At 37.4% G+C, this 21670-nt stretch overlaps 1 protein-coding gene across 6 annotated transcripts in view; it reads right to left on the bottom strand.

Moving 5' to 3' along the window:
* The window catches only part of DLC1 (DLC1 Rho GTPase activating protein), a 521260-nt gene that overhangs the window by 214217 nt on the left and 285373 nt on the right, over window positions 1-21670 (bottom strand). For 5 of the 6 annotated variants that reach the window (NM_001348082.2, NM_001348081.2, NM_001413124.1 and 2 more), the window contains exon 5: window positions 7692-7725. Coding sequence is in view for 5 of the 6 variants with exons in the window: in NM_001348081.2 (NP_001335010.1) it covers window positions 7692-7725 (34 nt within the window). In the remaining variant the exon portion in view is untranslated. Of the gene's footprint in view, window positions 1-7024; window positions 7726-21670 lie in introns of those variants that run through there. The other variant, NM_024767.5, reaches the window with a different exon arrangement.

Below are 21670 nucleotides of genomic sequence, written 5' to 3' on the forward strand. Positions count from 1 at the left end.
GTACTGCGCTGAATGAAACAAAATTATGTTTTTAAGGTGTTCACAGCCTAGTGGGAGAGACAGCAATAAAACCAATCAGATCCATACTAAAATGAAGACACAAAACAGAGCAGAGTCTTTCCAAAGAGAAGTCTGAAATAGAGCAGTCCTGTTTTAATTTTTTCAGCAAATCTCTTTGGATTTGCATATCTTGGAGCGTGGCTCAGAGTGGATATATCACATTAATCATTCTCTGGATCCAAGCAATGATGATCAGACTGGGAACAGTGGAAGTGTCTTTCCATTTTAGTTTTTTTTTGTTGTTGTTGTTGTTGTTATTCATTTGCATTTCCTTTCTCAGGGATGAAAAGCAGCCAAGAAAATTAATACCAAAATGCATCAAGTCTGGGCTTTGTTATTTAGTATGTTTACAAGGAGCTTGGAATAAAATTATGAAAATTCTGATTTTTCCCTTACGCATTTGTCACAAAGAAGTGTTTCATTTCTATTTTCTGTCTTATGACCACAACACAAAGTTTGGAGAGACCGTGACTCTGGTATATGCTTCTGAAAGCTATCCTTCACAAGAATTTCAGGCTATAATTATTCATTATCTTGATTTTTAACATTTTATGGCCAACCAAATAAGCTCCAGGCAGGAGAATAAACATTCTGAGAAAAATGACCAAGGAAAGCAACCAAAGTCAGGCTCTAAGTCATCTTCTTCAATGGCCCCCTTTACACGTTTCTGTGGCACAGATCCCCAAATAGTACCATTAATTCATGACCTGGCTGACATATTTGGCCGTTGGGTTGAGTAGTAGGAGTAATGGAGAAGGTTAAATAAAAAGCTTTAGAATCGTGTTAACTCTAAGTCAGTAAGATTATAGCCAGAGCATTTTTATAATTACAATTTCTTGATTAACACCTGTTTTACAGAACATCTATATTTTAATAGCTATTTTAATTGCAGGACACACAAAGACAATATTCTTAACCTAGAAAAGTTCATGATCTAGAGAAGACACACAGCTAAGCAAGATAATAAAACTGTAACAGAAAAGACGTAGCTTTTTAGGAGCACAGAATAAGCTCTAAGATTAGTTCTGCCTGGGAAATAAGTCATTAAAGAAGTGATATTATTGTTGGATCCAATGAAGCAAGTAGGATTTTCAAGACAGGGGATAAAAATAACCTGTTAGGCACTATGCTCACTACTTGAGTGACGGGGAAAGCTGGACCCCAAACATCTGCATCAAGCAATATACCCATGCAACAAATCTGCACTTGTACCCCCTGAATAAAAAAAAAGTTGAAACTATTTTTTTAAGCCATTTTTGGCTAATGATAATGCTTTGTTTTGCATGGGCTGCTATGTAGCCTGACAAAATTTGTGAAGTGTTCTTTGATTTAATTTTAGAATGACGGATTTCATGTTACTCCATATTAATAGTTCTCAAATATTCTCAAAGTGATATTTTAGTGACTAAAATGCAGTGTTACTTTTCCAAGAGAGAACACATTATAAGTCATAAGGCTAGTATATTTCTTCTCCATGGGATTAAATGAAACTATTTTCATTTACTTTGAAAAAAAAAAAATGTGGATGGGTGGGGTGGCTCATGCCTGTAATCCCAGCACTTTGGGAGGCCAAGGCGGGTGGATCCCTTGAGGCCAGGTGTTCAAGACCAGCCCAGCCAACATAGTGAAACCCCATCTCTACTAAAAATATAAAAAAAAAATTAGCCAGGTGTGGTGGTGGGTGCCTGTAATCCCAGCTACTTGGGAGGCTGAGGCAGGAGAATTGCATGAACCCAGGAGTTGGAGGTTGCAGTGAGTCGAGACCGTGTCATTGCACTCCAGCCTGGGCAATAAGAGCAAAACTCCTTCCCAAAAAAAGAAAAAAAAAAAAGCTCCTCATCTTTTTTTTTTTTTTTTTTTCTGGTTAAGCCATCTTTCACTTTGCCTCTCTCTATCTCCGCCTATCATCTGGTGCCAGTTGCATGCCACAGACCTAGGCAGAAGATGAAAGCAGAGAGCTACGAGGGATTCTATGGTAGTTAAAGTTTGAGCAACCAACAAACAAAATGAAGAAATAGAAAAAATAGAAAATATCAGAAGTATATCAGTGAGGCTCCTTGCGGGAAACAAATGCACGTTAGGCACATTGAGGGGAGTTTAATAACAGGACCATTTATAATGGGAAACCCCAGGGCCAGAGGAGAGAATTGCTGTCACAATTTGGAAGCTTAGTGCAAATGGCAGCCTAAGTAAGAGAAGTCAACAGTGACTCCCAGAAGCTGGAGAAGACACAGTGGCGATTCCTCAGAGATTTTGAACCAGAAATGCCACTGAGTCAGCAATCGCATTACTGGGTATATATTCAAAGGAGTATAAATCATTCTATTATAAAGATACATGCACACATATGTTCATTGCAGCACTATTCACAATAGCAAAGACATGGAATCAACCCAAATGCCCATCAGTGATAGGCTGGATAAAGAAAATGTGGTACATATACACCATGGAATACAACGCAGCCAAAAAAAGGAAGGAGATCACGTTCTTTGCAGGGACATGGATGAAGCTGAAAGCCATCATCTTCAGCAAACTAAAGCAGGAACAGAAAACCAAACCCCTCATATTCTCACTTATAAGTAGGAGCTGAACAATGAGAACACATGGACACAGGGAGGGAACAACAGTCACTGGGCCTTTTTTGGGGAGGATGGTGTGGGGAGAACATTAGAGAAAAGAGATAATGGATGCTAGGCTTAATACTTAGGTGATGGGTTGATAGGTGCAGCAAACCACCATGACACACGTTTACCTACGTAACAAATTTGCACATCCTGCACATGTATCGCAGAACATCATAAAATAAAGTAAATCTACATTGAACTTAAAAACAAACTCTCCAACCTCATTGTCCCACCATCCCCCTCCCCCAGTCTCCTGCTAGAGCTTCTCGTCCTCTTCGTGGCTGAATGAGGAAGACAGAAAGGAGGGAAGTCCTTTGATTTAGTTCACATTGGTCGGCCTCCCAGGGCACAGAGGCAGGGAGAAGTAGGGCAGAGGGTGGATCTGAGGGGCAACACAGACATGTATCCGGTCCAGTGAATGATACTGCGTCTGAATAACAAATGGCCATGTATGGACAGGTCACTCCTGAATGGACAAATGGCCAGCCAGGACAGTTTAATTTTACTCTGTGGCTAATAGAGAGTCAGATAAAATGTTGGCACAGGAACTGACATGATCAGGTTATATATTTTCAAAGATAACTCTGGTGACAGTGCAGATAATAGACTGGTGTAATGATTGGTTAAGTCAGGGAAACCAGTTCTGGATGCTTTTGTGAAAGTCCAGTGGAAAGTGAAGGCCTGCATGGAAGCAGTGGCCAGAGGAATGGACAAGGGTGATGAGAGGGCGGTGCTGACAGCACGGTGTGTAGAAGGTGGAGGAGCCTGGGAGCGGCAGGAGAACCCAGGCGCCTAGCTGGCTTGCTTGGTAGATAGGATCTGATGACCTCAGGGACTGTGGATACAGGAGGATAATGGAATCACGGGAAAATGGGACACAGCATAAACATTTCTCTGAAACTAATATTTTTTTGAAAATCAAATGTTACCTGTTTCCAAGAGAGAATTTCAGTCTAATAGACAAAAAAAAAAAAATCTCTAAAGGGAGGTTAAAATGTGATCACCTCTGTCTATATTGTGACAATCTTTGAATTAATTCATTGAGAAGAATCATGGAGAAAGTGATCTTTCTTCTTCCACATGGACAGCTGTTCAGCTGTTAGTACCACGAGGAAGCATTTTAGGACTTGTGGAACACACAAGGACATCAGTGATGCAGCGAGTGTCCATTTGTCCTGTAAGCACCAACCAATTATCATAAAAGACAGCTACCATTTTTTGGGACTTAGTTTGTACCAAGCATTGTTGCCTTACATCAACAACATGGCAGATTCTTGATTTGTGTTCTGGAAATGAGGGAGATGAGGAAGTTAAGTGACTTGCTCAAGGCCATACAGATAGGAAGCAGATGTGCTTGAGGGTATTCCAATGGGACGGGTTCACTCTTTAGAGCAGGGATCCCCAACCCCCAAGCCCTGGACCAGTACCGGTCTGTGATCTGTTAGGAACCAGGCTGCACAGCAGGAGATGGGCGGTGGGCAAGCGAACATTACCGTCTGAGCTCTGGCTCTTGTGAGATCAGCGGCAGCATTAGATTCTCAGAGAAGCATGAACCCTGTTGTGAACTGCACATGTGAGGGTTCTAGGCAGTGCACTCCTTATGATGATCTGAGGTCTGAGGTGGAACAATTTCATCCTGAAACCCTCCCCTACCCAACTCCGTGGAAAAATTGTTTTCCATGAAACTGGTTCCTGGTGCCAAAAAGGTTGAGGCATACAGACTCCAGCGACATGATGGAAGTTATATGAAAATGATATTTATTGGATACAATTATACATATCGATACTTGTGTGATCAGTTCTGATTATTTAAAAAAGAAGTTGGTTGGATTCTGTCTCAGATCCTAAGAAGGCACATTCTCATCCAGAGTTTCCTGAAGACAGTACTTTGATTTGATTCCTTGCCTGGGAAGCTTTTTGAATAAGCAGAGTTAAGAAATTCTCAATTGAGAAGAGGAGAAGGAGGGATGCCTGCCTGATGGGATATCCTCCAACTAGAGTTTGAGTTCCTATGGGGCAGAGGCCATGCCTTGTTCATAACTGCTTCCTCAGTAGAACCTAATAGAATGCCTAGAACATGCTGCTGTTCAGTAAGTATTTGTGAAATGACTGAATCCATAAAAGGCTGTTTCAAAGGCTGTTTCAAACTTGCCTCCCTTTGAAGATTTCTGTCATCACAGGGCAGGAGACAAGCAGCAGAAATGATCCCACTGAGCTGTATTATCATAGCAACGTGGATCAGAATAGAAGATAGCTACTTACAGCACACACAGAGCAATCACACAACTGTAATTGAAGGATGATTAATGGAATGTGCCCCAAATGATTTCATTTAGAGCTTCACAAAGCCTGGTAGAGTTGGTTCCAGTTAGCTTGGATGAGAGGTCACACAGATTAAAAATAGACTTTCTTAATAAAGAACAATAGGCTACATTGATTTAGAAAGATACAAAAAAAAAAAAAAAATGACAGGCCTTAGGGGCGGGTATGAAGCTTAATCCTATTTAAGAGCTCAATTAACCCCGAGAAGATTGAGTGGGTCTCCTGCCTTCATGGCCATTCCTCTGTCTAGCGGAAGCTTACAGAGATTCATAAAGACATGAAAGAAACAAGATTTATATTTGTATATAGAACACTCAAAATATTTTTAATGTTTCAAATAATAAAGTTTAGAAATACAAGAATTAGATTGCTTAGACTGTTATGGTACTTAAAACTTTTGAAATAAATCACATTCTCTTTTGAATTGTCATATTTGTTACCGTGATTCATAAAATATTCAGACACGAACATTTGTCTTGACAGGTAAATTCACTGCCTTGAAAAAAAATCCTTTATTTCTTAAATGATCAAATGAAATTACATTTTCTCCTAAATATATCAGCATATCCTCCAGAAATCTAAATAGAAATTCATTCTGGAGTAAATTCCAATCATTCTAATATTTTCATAAAGAGCAGAAGTCAGATTTTGCTCAAATCAGTCCATCCTGAGTTGCTAGGTATCTGAGATGGGGCATCCTGGGGCCTGTGGAGATCACATATGTCATCTTATGGAACCTCTGAAAATTTAATCTCTCGATTCTTTTATGTGTGCCTCAGCCATATAGAAATGACTCAGAAAGATTATGTAAGGAGGGACAGTTGATTTCATTAAAAAAATTGTTGTTCTTAAGGAGGAAAATTTCCAGGATTATGACAAAAAGGTAGTGGTTACATTATATTTATGTTCTCTAATTAGTTCTTTGTTTTAAAAATATTTTCATGCCAGGTGCTCACACCTGTAATCCCAGCACTTTGGGAGGCCGAGGCGGGCGGATCACCTGAGCTCAGGAGTTTGAGACTAGCCTGGCCAACATGGCGAAACCCCATCTCTACTAAAAATACGAAAGTTAGCCTGGTGTGGTGGCGCAGGCATGTAATCCCAGCTACTCAGGAGGCTGAGGCAGGAGAATGGCTTGAATCTGGGAGGTGGAGGTTGCAGTGAGCCAAGATCACACCACTGTGCTCCAGCCTGGGCAACAGAGTGAGACTCCATCTCAAAAAAAAATATTAAAAATAAAAATATTTTCAAAATATTTGAGAAGCTTGACAGAATGAAGTGTTTCTCCCTGCCAAACTTAAGCCATTTAACTGGAAGAGGAGAAAGAGAACTCTCTGCCTTCCTGTCTCCGCCAGCCATGGCATTTCCATTCCTTCTTTCCCCTCCTGACCAGCCAACAACTCACATCCTCATTTTCTTCTTGGGGTGTGAAAAAACTTGCTGACATTCTGGAATAGGATGACAACTTTGTTCTGTTATATACTTTGTTTAAATTGCAGTGAATTATGGGGACAGCTATGTAAGATACTGGAGATTTAAAACTTTAAATCCATTCAATATATGGTAAATATATTGATGCAAAAATAATTGCAGTTTGGCCATTGAAAGTAATGGCCAAAACCACAATTACTTTTGCACCAACCTGATATTAATGCTTATGATATTAGTACATTGTTATGTTGTGTGATTTTTCTCTTGAGCTGACATATGATGCCAGTTCAATATTTTCCTTCTATTCTGAAGAGATACTTTTCAACATTATTAAAGTGAAGAAACGAGATACAGCCTAAACATGAGAGAAAAGTTTAGCTCACAGAAGGACACAAACTAGGAAAATTCTGTGTAAAAACTATCTAGCAGCAAAAATAAGGTCACTGACATAGACAGCAAACACCCCCGCCAGACAAACTCTACTGCTTTAGTGTAAAGGCACTTGAAATTTTAATATTTTCTCTAAGGTGAGACTATAAACTTTTAATATAGCTCTTAAAAATCACAAATGTCTACAAACTAAGTGATGTACTTCAAGTTAGATAATATACCTTTAATCTGTTTTCGTTTTTATTACACAGAACACATAAGATAGTATGATTTTTTAAAAACACATAGATCTACCAATCCATGTCTAATTTTTCATATTTTCATTTCTCATCAGTCCTTGTCCATTTCCCATAATACTGTTAAATAATTATAATTAAAGCACAGAACACAGAAAAATACTATAATTTTTTTCTTCAATACAATTATTCACATTGCTTCATCACTATATTTTTGATAGTATGGCATCAGCTTTAAGCATCAATTACATCTTTTTCTGTGGCTACTAAGTCATTAAGAGTAAAAATAAACCTTGGTAATTATTAATAACTAATTTCCAAATTCATTCCCCAGAACCTTGATCAACATTTAATTCTTTTGCTTAAGAAAAAAAAATTGTGGTTGCAGTTACAAGGAAGACCCCAAGAAACACATATCTTATTCTAACACAATGTCATTATGTCAGAAAACCACGTATATTTTTCTTACATATTGAGCAAAACAAATTTCTTTTACAGAATTTAAACAACATTTTCCCATATATTCATGAGATGTATACATTTTATATATTTAATAAAATGCCTATTTTAAGGTGAAATTTATTCTAAAATAGATTGGCGAGAAAACAGAACCAAAATGTCAACTTACCAGCCTTTTCCTTCTCTGAAATACCTTGAATAGCCTGAAAAAAAAGACACAAAAATTGTGGTATTATTAGGAAGAAACATCAGAAAGCATCATTAGAAATAAAACGAAGTGTAATTAATGACGCAAAAATTAAATAGAGAATGCCAATAGAAAAATTAGCATTTTGGAACTATCAGTAAAATCACTAGAGCTGTCTTTGATAACTGTAAATCATCTTCTAATTCTTTTCTTTTCTGAAGACAGACTCAAATGAATGCACATCCATATTATCTTTAACACTGGCAATAGGCTGGGTGTGGTGGTTCACACCTGTAATCCCAGAACTTTGGGAGGCAGAGACAGGCGGATCGTTGAGCCCAGGAGTTTGAGACCAGCCAGGACAACATGGTGAAACCCCATCTCTACAAAAAATACAAAAATTGGCTGGGCATGGTGGCATGCACCGGTAGTCCCAGCTACTTGGAAGGCTGAGGTAGGAGAATCACCTGAGCCCAGGGAGATCAAAGCTGCAGTGAGCTATGATCGTGCTACAGACTCCAGCCTGGGCAACACAGTCAGACCCCATCGCAAACAAACAAACTAACAACATTGGCAATAAATGAATCTAAAAACACTTTGAATTGGGGTAGAATTTTTGTAGTTAACATTTTCTGGTCCTATTTTTGGGAGAGAGAAGCAAATTCGTTAGTTTCTGGGCATTTCAAATCTCTTCCCTGTTGCTTATTTTTTCTGTGCACACAAGTGAGGTATCTTACCTCTCAAGGCTCAGGTTCCTTCTTTATTAATCGCATCTAGATAATCACATCTACTTCAGAGGATTGCTGAAAGAACTAAAGGAAGCAGCCTCTATAAAGCGTACCAGATCTTCAGGGAAAAGCCACTCTTACTATTTATTAAAATGGGCCTTGGTCCAGTGGGTTAGTTGACTGATGTGAAAGATTTAGAAGCTCAATCCCCAGCATTTATCACTGTTATGATTTTTAAAAATAGGGTTCAGAATGAGATCTTTCCAAGAACTTAAAGCTTAACTGTCTAGTTCTACTGTTTGTGGATACCACTAAACAAATGAAGCAAGTTGACTTTCTGGTTCTCATTCATCTCAGTTACTCACGTATAAAATATAGTTGAGGATGTATTAACTGACCCATTGGGATTTGATGCCTTCCACCCCATAATCACTGACCACAGGATAGATCCAAAGGTGATATTTCTTCATTTCTTCAGGGACAACATCCTCAGAGTTGAAGTAAGAAAAGCACACTCAAATGGGTATTTGTGTGTGTGTGTGTTTGTGTGTGTGTGTGTGTGTGTGTGTGAGAGAGAGAGAGAGAGAGGCCCAAGTGCAGCTCTGTTGTGGATCAGCCCAAGAAAAGAGCATCAATCTTCATTTCGAGAAATAGCAAATATCAAGACGTCTATATCCTTGTGAAATATTGGTTACTGCTGAGATCTTCACCTTTGGGATTTAGGGGATTTTGTGATTGATGCAATAATTCAGCTAAGGTAAAGATTTCCTTATGGATAAAAAGTAGAGGCTGGGCACCGTGGCTCACCCCTGTAATCCCAGCACTTTGGGAGGCCGAGGCGGGTGGATCACCTGAGGTCAGGAGATCGAGACCAGCCTGACTAGCATGGTGAAACCCCGCCTCTACTAAAAATACAAAAATTAGCCGGGCATAGTGGCAGGTGCCCGTAATCCCAGCTACTCAGGAGGCTGAGGCAGGAGAACCTCTTGAACCCGGGAGATAGAAGTTGCAGTGAGCCGAGACCACACCATTGCACTCCATCCAGGGTGACAGAGAGAGACTCTGTCAAAAAAAAAAAAAAAAAAAAAAAAAGGTAGAGATGGGGGGAGTTACTTTGGCAAGATTAATTTGTACTGAAAGCATATTTTGACTCAATCTCAATCTACATTTCGTTGTTCAGCACTGTTCTCTGGGTGTGAACCGTTTCTCCGCATGCTTCCAAAGATGCAGACGTATAGATTAAATGGCAGCTTGGGGGATCAGGCCCAGAGATCAGGGCTTCCAACAAATGGCATAGGCTGCCAGCATTTCCTGGGCATTCTTTCATTTGTTAAGAAGTCATCTGACTTTTCTTCTTCTTCAAGAACTTCTCTGATTCAATACTAGAGGAAAGCAATTTCCTTCTTTTACAAGTGATCCTACAGTTTTGGTAATGTTTGTTTACTTTCTATGTGTCCCTTAAAACATATTTAAAAATAGAATTAAATCCAAACTATGTATTAAATGTTAAGTCTAGCCCCTAAATTTACCCCTGATTGGGGGTTTTAAAATACATTCGCTCTTTTGTGAAAAGTGAACGAACAGAAAAATAAAACAGAAACCTTTCTTTTTTCAACAAGACTGGAAAAGTTGGTGACAGGTAATTAAAGAATGTTCCTGGAGAAAGTTCCTCAGGATAAAAATAGCTAGTGCTTACTGGGTGCTTAGTTTGTGTATGACCCAGTTTTAAGCTTTTGACTGCAGAAATTCACCACATCTTTAGAACACCCTGTAAAATCCTGGAAGGTAAAGTAACTTTTGTGAGGTCATGCTGTCACTAACGGAAGCAAGGCACAATACAGGCATGCTGGCCTGTGAGCCACACTAAACAGACTTATTTTGAAATGAAGGAGGAAAAAAGTTTGGATTGGTCTTATGATAAGACATTTACTTAGAACACAAAATACCTCTATAGGAATATTTTGTATGAGACATTTAGGCATTGTCTAAAGAAGCCCTCTCTTTTCATGGCAAACACATTTAAGTCAAGTTGAAAGCTTTGCCCCAAATCACAAGTTGACCAGTGACAAAAACAAGCCTTTTCTATATTTTATTTGATTTCAAAAGTATATAACCATGCATGTGTAATTAAATATTTAATAAAAATGATAATCAGTGAGTTGGGGTATCAAGCAAAAATACATTTTAGCCTCCTTATGGCCAATGTCCATATTTCATGTAGCCAATGCCAATTACGTTAGAATGTCACCACACTCTGCATGACTTTTAAGCTACCAAAACTCACTTCCATTACATAACTTCAAAGACCATATTACAATGTAGAGAAAGGATAGTCAAAGTGTAGTATTCCTAGAATTTTATAACTTCTTTTTAAGAGTAAAACCACATAGTGATAACAGGTGGATATTCCTCCAATGATTTATCTTTGAATTTGAGGGAGAACTGTCTCTCTAGAAAGTTGTTTATGAATAAATATATTACATTGTTAAATTTCTGAAATTTTCCAGAGATGAATGGCATTAGAAACAATTGAAAAATGCTGACACTTGCTCTACCGTTAGTTAAAGCGGATTGTTAATTCTTAATTACATGCCTCACATTATCCTAGATAAAAAAACTCTTAGCAAAGTTTTCTTCTTTGTGGAATTCACAATGTAATCAAAGAAGTTCCAAAAAAGGCAAAGAATGGATGCTGAACACGAATGATTAGTCACATCACTGGTGTGTCATTAAAAAGAGTGCGAAGAATATAGATCATTAGAACTATCCAAGTAGAAATGGAATGGTTTTCTTGGGCGTGAAACCCTTGGGCAGGAGGCATTGATTGGGGGATTCTTCTCATCCTTGGTTTCTGAGAAGGGACCTGGATAGATTTGGGTCCATGTCCTGAGGTCCCATCATGTCATATCTATTTCTGGGCTCAGAAATAACATTTCACACAAGCTGACTGTATAGTATGGTACAGAGTAGGTGTTCATCAACATTTTTGGAACTAAAACACCGAATGCCTATTTGAATATACAATTTAAATAACATGTATAATTGATGCTTATGAGAAAGCTCCAATAAAAGGCATATTTTTGAATCCATTAGGGGCTTTTGCTAATAGTTGCCATATGTTTCATTTGAACTGCATCCTCAGGAAGTGATTTAACATTTCTTGCAATAAAGCAATTAAATAGGATTTTCCTGCTGGCCATATGGGTTCGCTGTAACTTATATATTTTTTTCTCTTATTTCTCAATGGAACAAAGGAAAGTCTACAAATGACTTCCAAATGAAAGGGGAGAAAAATCATCCATAGTCTTTTGTTTTTCTTCTCTAGGATATTTAAATAATAAGATAGGAACCTTTTCTATGGCTCCCAACCACTCCAACCCTCTATGTTGAGACCCTTTAATAGTTCTCCACATGTAAAGATTTTCATTGAAGTTGGCCAATTAAGGTGTTTTATTAATACAATCGAATTTTTAAAAAGCTATTTAAGAAAGCTTTTTTAGCAAAAGAGAAGTAAACAATTTGCTTTCTTCTAATGAGAGCTTTTAAAGCTATATGTGGGAGCTTAGACTGTGTGCATGCCTGTTTGTGTTTTTGGATGTGAAAGATGGTTGGGGAAATGCTGATTTTGACATGCCACATGGAAATGTTCTAAACATATGTTGATTCTTTTGGTCTGCTGCAGAAATGGCTTTCTGCACTTCCAGGAGAACCTCAGATGGACACCTTTTAGGAACTCACACCAACCGCACAGAAGCTGCTAACGTAAATAGCATCATAAATAATAGACATCATATCTGAATCCATGACAATTGACAATCTGAATGTCTTGTCAATTGAAACATTCTAATTGAACCAATTTCTTCCTGATGACTTAGGAATATGCTTTTTTTCTACTTTCTCTGATTTTAGGAATATGTTTTTCTATTTTAGAAATGAAATGAAATATTTCTATTAATTTTCTTTAATGTGTTATTTTTATTATGCCATTTTCCTCACTTGTATGAAATATTTTCCTCTTAGTTCTTTAGAATCAGGAACATAGAATACTAACATTAAGAAGGACCTTATAGGCCAATCTCTTCAAACAACTGGCAGCTATGATACTATGTAAGTTCTCCTATGTTCCATGAAGCAAATTTATTTTTTTGTCCTGCAGTACACAAACAGAGCACTATCTATTTTGTGCTTTCTCTTTTTATAGTCAGAGCTTTCTTTTACATGATTTCAAATATTCAAGATGTTCACACAGAAGTGTTTGGAGTACTGTTTAAGTGTATAGAAATTTTCTTTATTTGCCTTTTAAAAAGTGGCTTAATTCAGAGAAAAATCAGTGACAGAGTAATTTACTCCTTTCCCTTTAAAACATTCACTTTTCTTCCCACAAAAATTTGTTCCACAAAAAAAAATTGCAGATAAATTCCAAAATAAGTAATTCTGTCCTTAGAAATTGCAAGAAAATATCCTTCAGTGATGGAACAGCCTCTGTCTCAGATGAGAGCACAAGAGCCCATTGTGGGCACATGGGCAACAGGAAGCGTTTTGGGATTCACATTTTTTGGGAAGACATGAAAGACAGCATGAAAGGAAAGAAGGTACATGGGAAAATGAGTTTGTTTTCATCTCTTCTTCATTTAAAGAGTCTTTTGAAATCACGCCATTCTGCAATATTGTTAGCCAGTCAATGATTTCAGTCTGCTTTCATTTGAACAAAGGATTTTATTGAAAAGCTGTGTCTGATTGGCAATCTGATATCATCTATTTTGGTTTACAAAGTAATTCTCTAGCTTTGACAGTCATCATTCTTTCATTAAAAATATAGTCTCTTCTTGATGGAGAGGGATTTAGAGATCATTCATTTGTGTTTCCCAATCTTCAGTTCTTCAAATACCACCTTCAGAATTTTTACTATATCCATGTATCATCTATAAATTATTTACTTAATAATTTAATAAAATCAAATTTAAATACATTTTCTGTTTTTTACTTGTTCTAAATAATAGACATGCATACATTTATGGGTTTGATTTGTGGGTTGTATTACTCATAATACACACTAGGATACATAATTATAAAAATTCAGAATGTTTGCCCCAGTATCAGCTGATATACCATTAGTACTGTATGTAGTATATTTTGCAAAATACTCATTTAGCTCTTTCTCTGTCATTTTGCCTATGAGGACGTTGAGACCCAGACAGGTTAAGTGACTTGCCCATTACTACAGGGCTTTTTGTGGCCAGATGGAAACTAGACCAGAATGTGGCTTTATAACCCTGTGTACTATACCATTCTTCATAAGACTGATGAAGCCAAAGGTCATCATGGCTTCATCCCTCCTAGTGTTCACGATTCCAACTTAACTTAGTTTCTCAACCAGATCAGAGAAGACAATGGAAATTCAGTTTCAGAAAAAAAGAGATGATGTGCTGGTGTAAGGATTGCCTTCAAGGAACAAATATCTATAACTAAAGTGAAATATTAATAAATGCACACACAATTATCTGAGAAACGTCATTGATGCTGTGTATCCTTATCTCCAAAAAAGGACACATCTTATTTAATAAAAGTTATCAGCAATATTGAGATTTATTCCCCCCCTTAAATCACTGACTTTAACAACTGTCTTTCAGTTTTTGTAGACTGAAATTATAGCTTTATTTATACTATATGGTGCAGAAATTTGGGGTCTCAGCTTAAATTGTTTGAACATTTGAACAAAGGCAAAGTTAATTCTTAAGAGATATTTTGGTGCTGCTCACAGGTATGTCTGTAGTTTATCTTTAGCAGAAATGAGATGACCCTCCCCTAAGTAAGAATGAAAGTTGGGATTCTGACCTTGAAAATTTTTTCTTTTCCTCCTCAAAACACTGACATTTAATGTATTTAAAGCTGGTGACTCTGTCTTCAACAAATCCTGCAGAATATTTTACTCCATGCTGTCTTGAGATACCTAAATGTTGAATTTCAGTTTGACAAAGCTCTGGTTGAGGCCACTTTCATTTGGAAATATGGTCTAAAATAAATTCTAATCATTATTCTAAGTTTTTTTAAAAATAATTTCTTTAGGCCGGGCGCGGTGGCTCACGCCTGTAATCCCAGCACTTTGGGAGGCCGAGGCGGGCGGATCACGAGGTCAGGAGATCGAGACCATCCTGGCTAACACGGTGAAACCCCGTCTCTACTAAAAATACAAAAAATTAGCCGGGCGTGGTAGCGGGCGCCTGTAGTCCCAGCTACTCGGGAGGCTGAGGCAGGAGAATGGCGTGAACCCGGGAGGCGGAGCTTGCAGTGAGCCGAGATCGCGCCACTGCACTCCAGCCTGGGCGACAGAGCGAGACTCCGTCTCAAAAAAAAAAAAAAAAAAAAAAAAAAAATAATTTCTTTAGCAAGCTAGATAAACAGAAAGAGCCCCATGACTGGGCCACATTAACTTAACTCTTCTCTGTCTTTATTGAATTTTTAATGATAATATTCTGTATCTCTAAGAAATTTACAATTGATGACTTAGTCATGACATATCCTTCAGATATATTTTCATCTTATAAATCCTTTTCAGAATTTAATAAATCATGTCTTTCTCTATGTTACTATTAAAGTTTATTCCAATTGAACATTGCTAATAGAAAAAATGCCTATTAAAATTAATGAATATATTTAAGTACTGCATATTAATATATTCATTGTGTCTATATTATATATATCTCCTTAAATTTGCAAATTCTTCAGAATTATTATTTTATTGTTCTGTATGATGATTTGCCTGTGGTAGCCACTTAGAAATACTGACTATTCATAACAGTTTTTGTTTTTTAAGTCTGATCTATGAAAGTTCACAATTAAGGAGTAATGTAGACATGTAGGCTGATTTCCAGTGAGGATGATACTCAAGATAATTAACTTATTCAGAGACCAATTGACTCAAAATGGCTGTTTATCCTTCTTTTTGTTGGATGATGTCAACTAGCAATTTATCTCCCCTTCGATGTTACACTCCTCATAATGATTCATTTTGTCCATGAAGTCTGAATAGTAGCTTTTTGCTGGTGTGAAATGCTCCTTCTCACAGGATTTCCTGGGCATTACTAAGGCAACGTCCCTGCTGAAGATTTTTACTTACAGCACTGTTTTCCTTAAAATGCTTTAGTGATTCTCTTTCTTCTTCCTAGTATGCTCATTCTGTACTAATGTGCTCTGAACACGAGGATGAACCTCATCCTCGTGTGCCTAGGTCTAGTTAATCAAGACTCAAGCCAAGTACTCACTACCTACACAGTCTTTTGCTAAGTGCAGTAATTGCAGAAAAGAAATTGAAGGCATGCTGTGAAAAGAAGTAATCTAATTGTGAATCCACGCTGAAGACTGAAACAAAAAATTAGAGGTGAATATGAACACGTACAAGGTTTCTTACTGCCACTAATTGGCATGATGATTTTTGGCACTTTTCTAGAACTCTCTGAGCTCAGTGAGATAGGGGTAGATATAGTATCTACATCCTGGGGCTATTTGTGAGGGTCAAAGGAAATTGCTGCATGGGAAGGGATTATCACACAGCTCCATGATTGTGAACTATTCCTACTGTGGTATTTGTTAATATGAGATTAAAAAGCAACTACTGTATGTATTTATTCGGAAATAATGCAAAACAAATATAGGTTGTCTGTCTCTGAGTCCTCCTCTTCCTCCAGTCCAATTAACTTGTTTCCACATGTTTATTTCTCCTTTATTTATTTTGAACAATTTTAAATTATTTTCTGTGAGATTTTGAAAAACATTTTTGTTTTTTTTCTTATTTTCCCTAAGTTTTATAAAGCTCAGTGTGGAGGATATAATCCTTCTTCCTCACCTTTAATTTGAGGTTTGTCACCCCAAACTAGCTATTACTAGGTGGGCCTATTCTTTGTCCTTTTAGGTAAGCCAGTGATGATATTCTACTTGGGTCTCCAAACAGAGGAGCAGACTCCCATTTCTGTACGTCTTGGAGCAGCAGGACCTGAGGGCATAAGTGGAAGTGATCCCTGTACCAGAAAATGTAGAACATTTATATTCTGCACTCATGTGACCTTTGGGTGACTTCTGAATTGTAGGAGATCCCTGGGACCACCATTTGCATTTAATCAGAACTCTTCACAAGATTTATCACTTACTGAAATTTCATAAATTATTGAAATATATTCATATAATTATACATATAATATATAGACATACATATATTACACATATATTTATAATATACATGTGTATACATATTATATATGTATATTCACATTTAATCAGAATATAATATGTATATATATAATATACATATATATTATAAATATATGTGTAATATACATGTAATATTGTTCAATAGACTTGGATAAAAATAGAGGTAACATATTGGTTTACAGTTTAACAGAATAGCATATAATATCTAGCTAAGAAACAAAACAACATATATTGTCAATCTATTTGTTTTGTGTATTTTCACTTAGTCTCTTAGAAAGCTGAGAGATAAAGCATTTACTCATATCCATCTTGGTCAGGTTAATTACTACCAATTATATTCAAATATAAGCTTAGTTTCATTTTAATAATTCAATGCCTGCATGTTCATCTGTATTACCAAACATTTGCTGATATTCTCACCATTTCATAACATCCAACTTAAAAACTTTTGGTAGATCCAGGCTTCTGGTAGAAGCTCAAAACATAAACCATTAGATCAGAACCACAAAAAGAATACAGATTAAAACTACTTAAATGATATACATAAATCTCTTTATGACAAACCGTAATCTTGTTCACTGAACTGGAATTTATCCTTATCAAATGTGACTTCATAAAGTGGGCTCTTGGCTGGAGCCCAGAAACACTTTTATTACAGGGAGATATTCATTGTAGTGGTAACCACCCACAAATTTGATATATATTATGCGTGGTCTAACCTAAAATGTACACCATGATACCAGGATCAGTAAAATATAGGTTTTATTTTGGCTGAAAGTAAAGGTATTCTAATGTTCTGCAACTCTAATGAAACTCATCACTTCAGGCCTGAGGGTGTGCAGAAATCTACTGTAAGTGATTGGGAACTAAGGAAGAAGTTTATGACACTGAAGACTAACAGAACCTGATGAATGGCCTGGTGCAGTAGCTCATGCTTGGAATCCCAGCGCTTTGGGAGGCTGAGGCAGAAGGATCCCTTGAGCCCAGGCGTTCGAGACCAGCATGAACAAGATGGTGAGACCCTGTCTCCACATACATACATATATACATACATGTTAATAATAAAAAGAAACTGATCAAAAATTTCACAAGAGGTTTTTGGAATCAGGATGATAATCAAATAATAGCCAAACATTTGGTGCTTTCAAAGTGGTAAATTGTGTTAACATTGAGATGTCTATAAACATTCTGCTCTTTGAGGACAAATGCTTGGGCAGAAGAGATGTCCTTGTTGGCACCTCTGAGGTACATGTCTGAATCTATCTATAAAATGTAAGAGGAGTCTGCTCTGTGGTGTCAGAAAGACAGGTTAATTTAGAGATGAACTTGATGTTGGGGCCTTTCAATTGCCTGCGTTTGATAACATGGTAACTATTCTGTGACCTCTCTCCTTAAATCACAGGAGCCCAACTCAATTTCTTCTATTCCATTGATGACCTAAGTCCCCGTATTTTGTTTGTTAATTTCCATTTGCTGCCCATCCCCCTCACCCAGCTTTCCTTTCTATCCCATCCTCTGTGCAGGAATGGTGACCTGGATGGAGACAGGGAGTCATATGCTCAGGTTTGCCTGGGATAATCTTGATTTCACAGATCTCTTGATCAGTTTAACATTTGCCTCAAAATGTTCATTTTTGGTGACAAAGTTATTAATAGTTACATTAAAATTATTCAGAGTGGGTTTGTATTTCCAGCTTCTATAGTATTGTCTAGTATTATATGAGATGCATGTGCAGAGAACGAAGTTCTTGCTTTAATATAGGGTTAAATCTGAAAGACTACTAAGTGATAAACAGCCTCTCCTTCCCTGACCCCTTTCGGATGTAATCTAACCAACACCTCCCTTTCAAGAACAGCACGCAGGTTGCGCACTGGCTTAACAAAGTACACTCAGACACAAGTGGTTAGGGACAGCTAACCCTTTCTGATTTCTGCTGGTGATGGAAGTGTCCAACGATGCCTCCCTACCAGCCACTTGATCTACTAGCTAGTGTGGTCTGGTGCCTGCAGCAGCCTGTAGGACTCACAGAGTCTGACAAGGTGGAAGGGCAATGTGGGTTAGGTGGATGTGAGATATGCAGGACAAACAGGTACAGCAGTTTTGTCCTAGTATATACAGAGTCATAGGTGAGTTTTATACAATACAATTGTATTGTATAAAGCTACAATTATATAGTTAGATAATTGTTGAGTAGCATGTTTCTTTTTTTTTGCAATAATGGTAATTAACTTTAACAACTTTCTTAACCCTCAAAAGTGTCCCAGTCTGGATGATAATTTATATGAGAACGCTTTATATGGATTCCATCAACAGGGTCCTTATTCCTCTTGGCTTCCAGGTAGGTTGGGCCCATGGCAAGCCGTAGAAGGAGACAGAAGGGGAGGAGAGTGAGGTTGGATTATCTAATCCTCTGGATCCCACTCGGCACGATTGCTTGGAACTGGTTGTGACTTTTGCACCTAAGGTCATTGGTTTTCTTAGGGCAGCTGAGTTTGCAGATTTTCTCCTCTCTGGGTTCTTTACTTGCTTCCTTCTCTGGTCATTTGGGCCTTGGGTGATCAGCTCAGCCACTACTAACCCCCAACTGACTGCAGTATCCCTTGTGTTTCTCCTATCATACAACTTTGCAAATAGTCCCTGTATAACTAATCCCTTCTCAAATAATCTTATGTTAAGGGTTTCTTGTATTTTCTATTGGATTCTTAATTGAATCTATTCCTTTTTTTTTCTTCTATGAATGAGCATTGAAATTTCCTTTCTCTCCCCAGTCTCTTCCTATGTGGAGAGTTATGTGAGACATGGACTGTAATAAGTGAAGAAAGTCTTACAAATCATTTATGTACGATTAAAGTCTACCTTGGTTCCAGAAAACTATATTTCAGAATGGGTCAATGAATTCTGAGCTTTCTGTGAGATGCAGTTTGTAGCACTGACATATTTTCAATGTAGACTAATGCTGAAAAGATTCAAATCAAGTATAAGGAAGGTTAAGTAGTAACATTAGCAATAAGCCACATTTTTGTTTGTAAACATAGATGGGAGGATAATTAACTAGGAAGTATGAAAACGTTAGTGTCCAGACTGAATTGCTTCAATACTAATTTTTTCTAGAAAACCCATTAAATAATTTGAACATTCAACATAAAAGCATAGACTTTATAGACATAGCATGGTTAACTGAAATTTACATATAACTTTAGAAGTTAGATGAGATTGCTTTGCTAACTAAACATTTTACAAAACATATCTTCAAAATTATTTATCAAAAGCTGGGTAGAAGATAGGAGATGAAGAGAGAAGGAAATAAATTCGAATTCTAGGAGAAAAGATAGAGACGAAATGGCTATGGTCAGTATTTTTTTGACCAATATCACTGAGGCATAAAGATCGCATCTGTATTGGGCTGTGTCTGGTGTGTGGTGAGGGGAATGAGGGGTAGGGAGGGCCTGAATTAAAGGCACTGGGAGGTGATAAACAGGGAGAAAGTATAGAAGGAAAGGGAGAAGTTCAAATTAGGACCCTTAAGAGGATTGCATTTTCAAGGGCAGGCAGAAGTTGAGAAGAGTGGAAAGAGGATTGAGAAAGCAAAGTCAGAGAAATAAGTTGTAGTCAAGAGTCCAGTTATAGTCCTCAAAGTGGCCAGTATTTTGTGAATAACTAGGAAAAGTGATGGTAAGTTGCTTCTGTGACATGGGGGAATAGGCAACACTTACTTAGTGGTCACTGTAACTCTGTACTTGTTCTATGCCAGGCAGTTTTCTAAGTACTTGGCACTTATTAACTTATTAATAACCTTTTTAAATTAAATTAGGTTTATTTATTTTTAGAGACAGGGTCTTTTTGTGTTACCCAGGATGGAGTGCAGTGGTATGATCATAGCTCACTGTAACCTCAACCTCCTGAGCCCAAGTGATCCTCTTGCCTCAGTCTCCTGAGTAGCTAGGACTAGCATGCACCACTACACTCAGCTAATTAAAATTTTTTTTTTTTTTTTTTCAGAGAAGGAGTCTTGCTATATTTTCCAGGCTGGTCTGAAACTGCTGGCCTCAAGTGATCCTCTTGCCTTGGCTTCCCAAAGTTCTGGGATTACTGGCATGAGCCATTGTGCTTGGCCAACTAATATAATCTTAATAACTACCAAAGGGATAGTGTTACTATATTATTCTATGTATGAGGAAATGAAGTCAAATAGAGACAAGGTCATTTAATTGACCAAGATCTCACCATTAGTAAGTGTCCATGTCAAGTTTTGAACCTAGGGTTTTAACTTAGTTAAGTTCATGTTCTCCCCTTCTCTTCTATCCAGCCTCTTTAGGACTCAAATTTTCTCTTTTCTGCACATATCCTTTACCATAGATAACAGCAGGAAAAAAGGAAGTTAGAAACTAAAGATATTGGTATGGATTTTAATTGCTAGTAACAAACAAACAAAACACCTAGTTGGAACATGGGCTTAAAGAAGTAATTGAACACTGATCATCCTTGAGATGCCTAATGATTAATCTTAAGGGAGCAGGAAACATTAACACAAAGGTAAGCCATGGACACATTTTCCCTTTCTACATGTCAGTCCTTGGCCGGCTGAACCTTCCCTCTCTTCTTTCTGAATACCTTTGCTAGCTAAGAGTGCACTTAACAGAGTAAAGGGAGAAATCATAGTTTTTATGACCACACTAGAAAGTGTTTATACACTTTCACCAGACAGATTGAATGCTCTGTGGTTTAGCCTCATGTAATCTCTCTCCTGCAAAGAAACACAATTGAGTGAGGTTAACTCCAAAGCTGGGTGCTGACAAGGAGCACTTAAAATAGAGCTGGCTTTTGCAGACCTGGAATTCTTCATCAATCAGCAGTGATGCTAACGGGTCTATTTATACCTATAATGGGGATACCTTTCATCAGACTCAAACGTAATTGGTTCAGTAGCTGTGTAGTTTATAAAACTGTTTCTGATTAGAAGCACATCAACAAAATAAAAAATACTCAGAAAAGTGAAAGTAACTTATTGTAAGCATGTAAAAGACACCT

This window comes from Homo sapiens, chromosome 8 (assembly GCF_000001405.40).
Source record: "Homo sapiens chromosome 8, GRCh38.p14 Primary Assembly".
Lineage (NCBI taxonomy): Eukaryota > Metazoa > Chordata > Mammalia > Primates > Hominidae > Homo > Homo sapiens.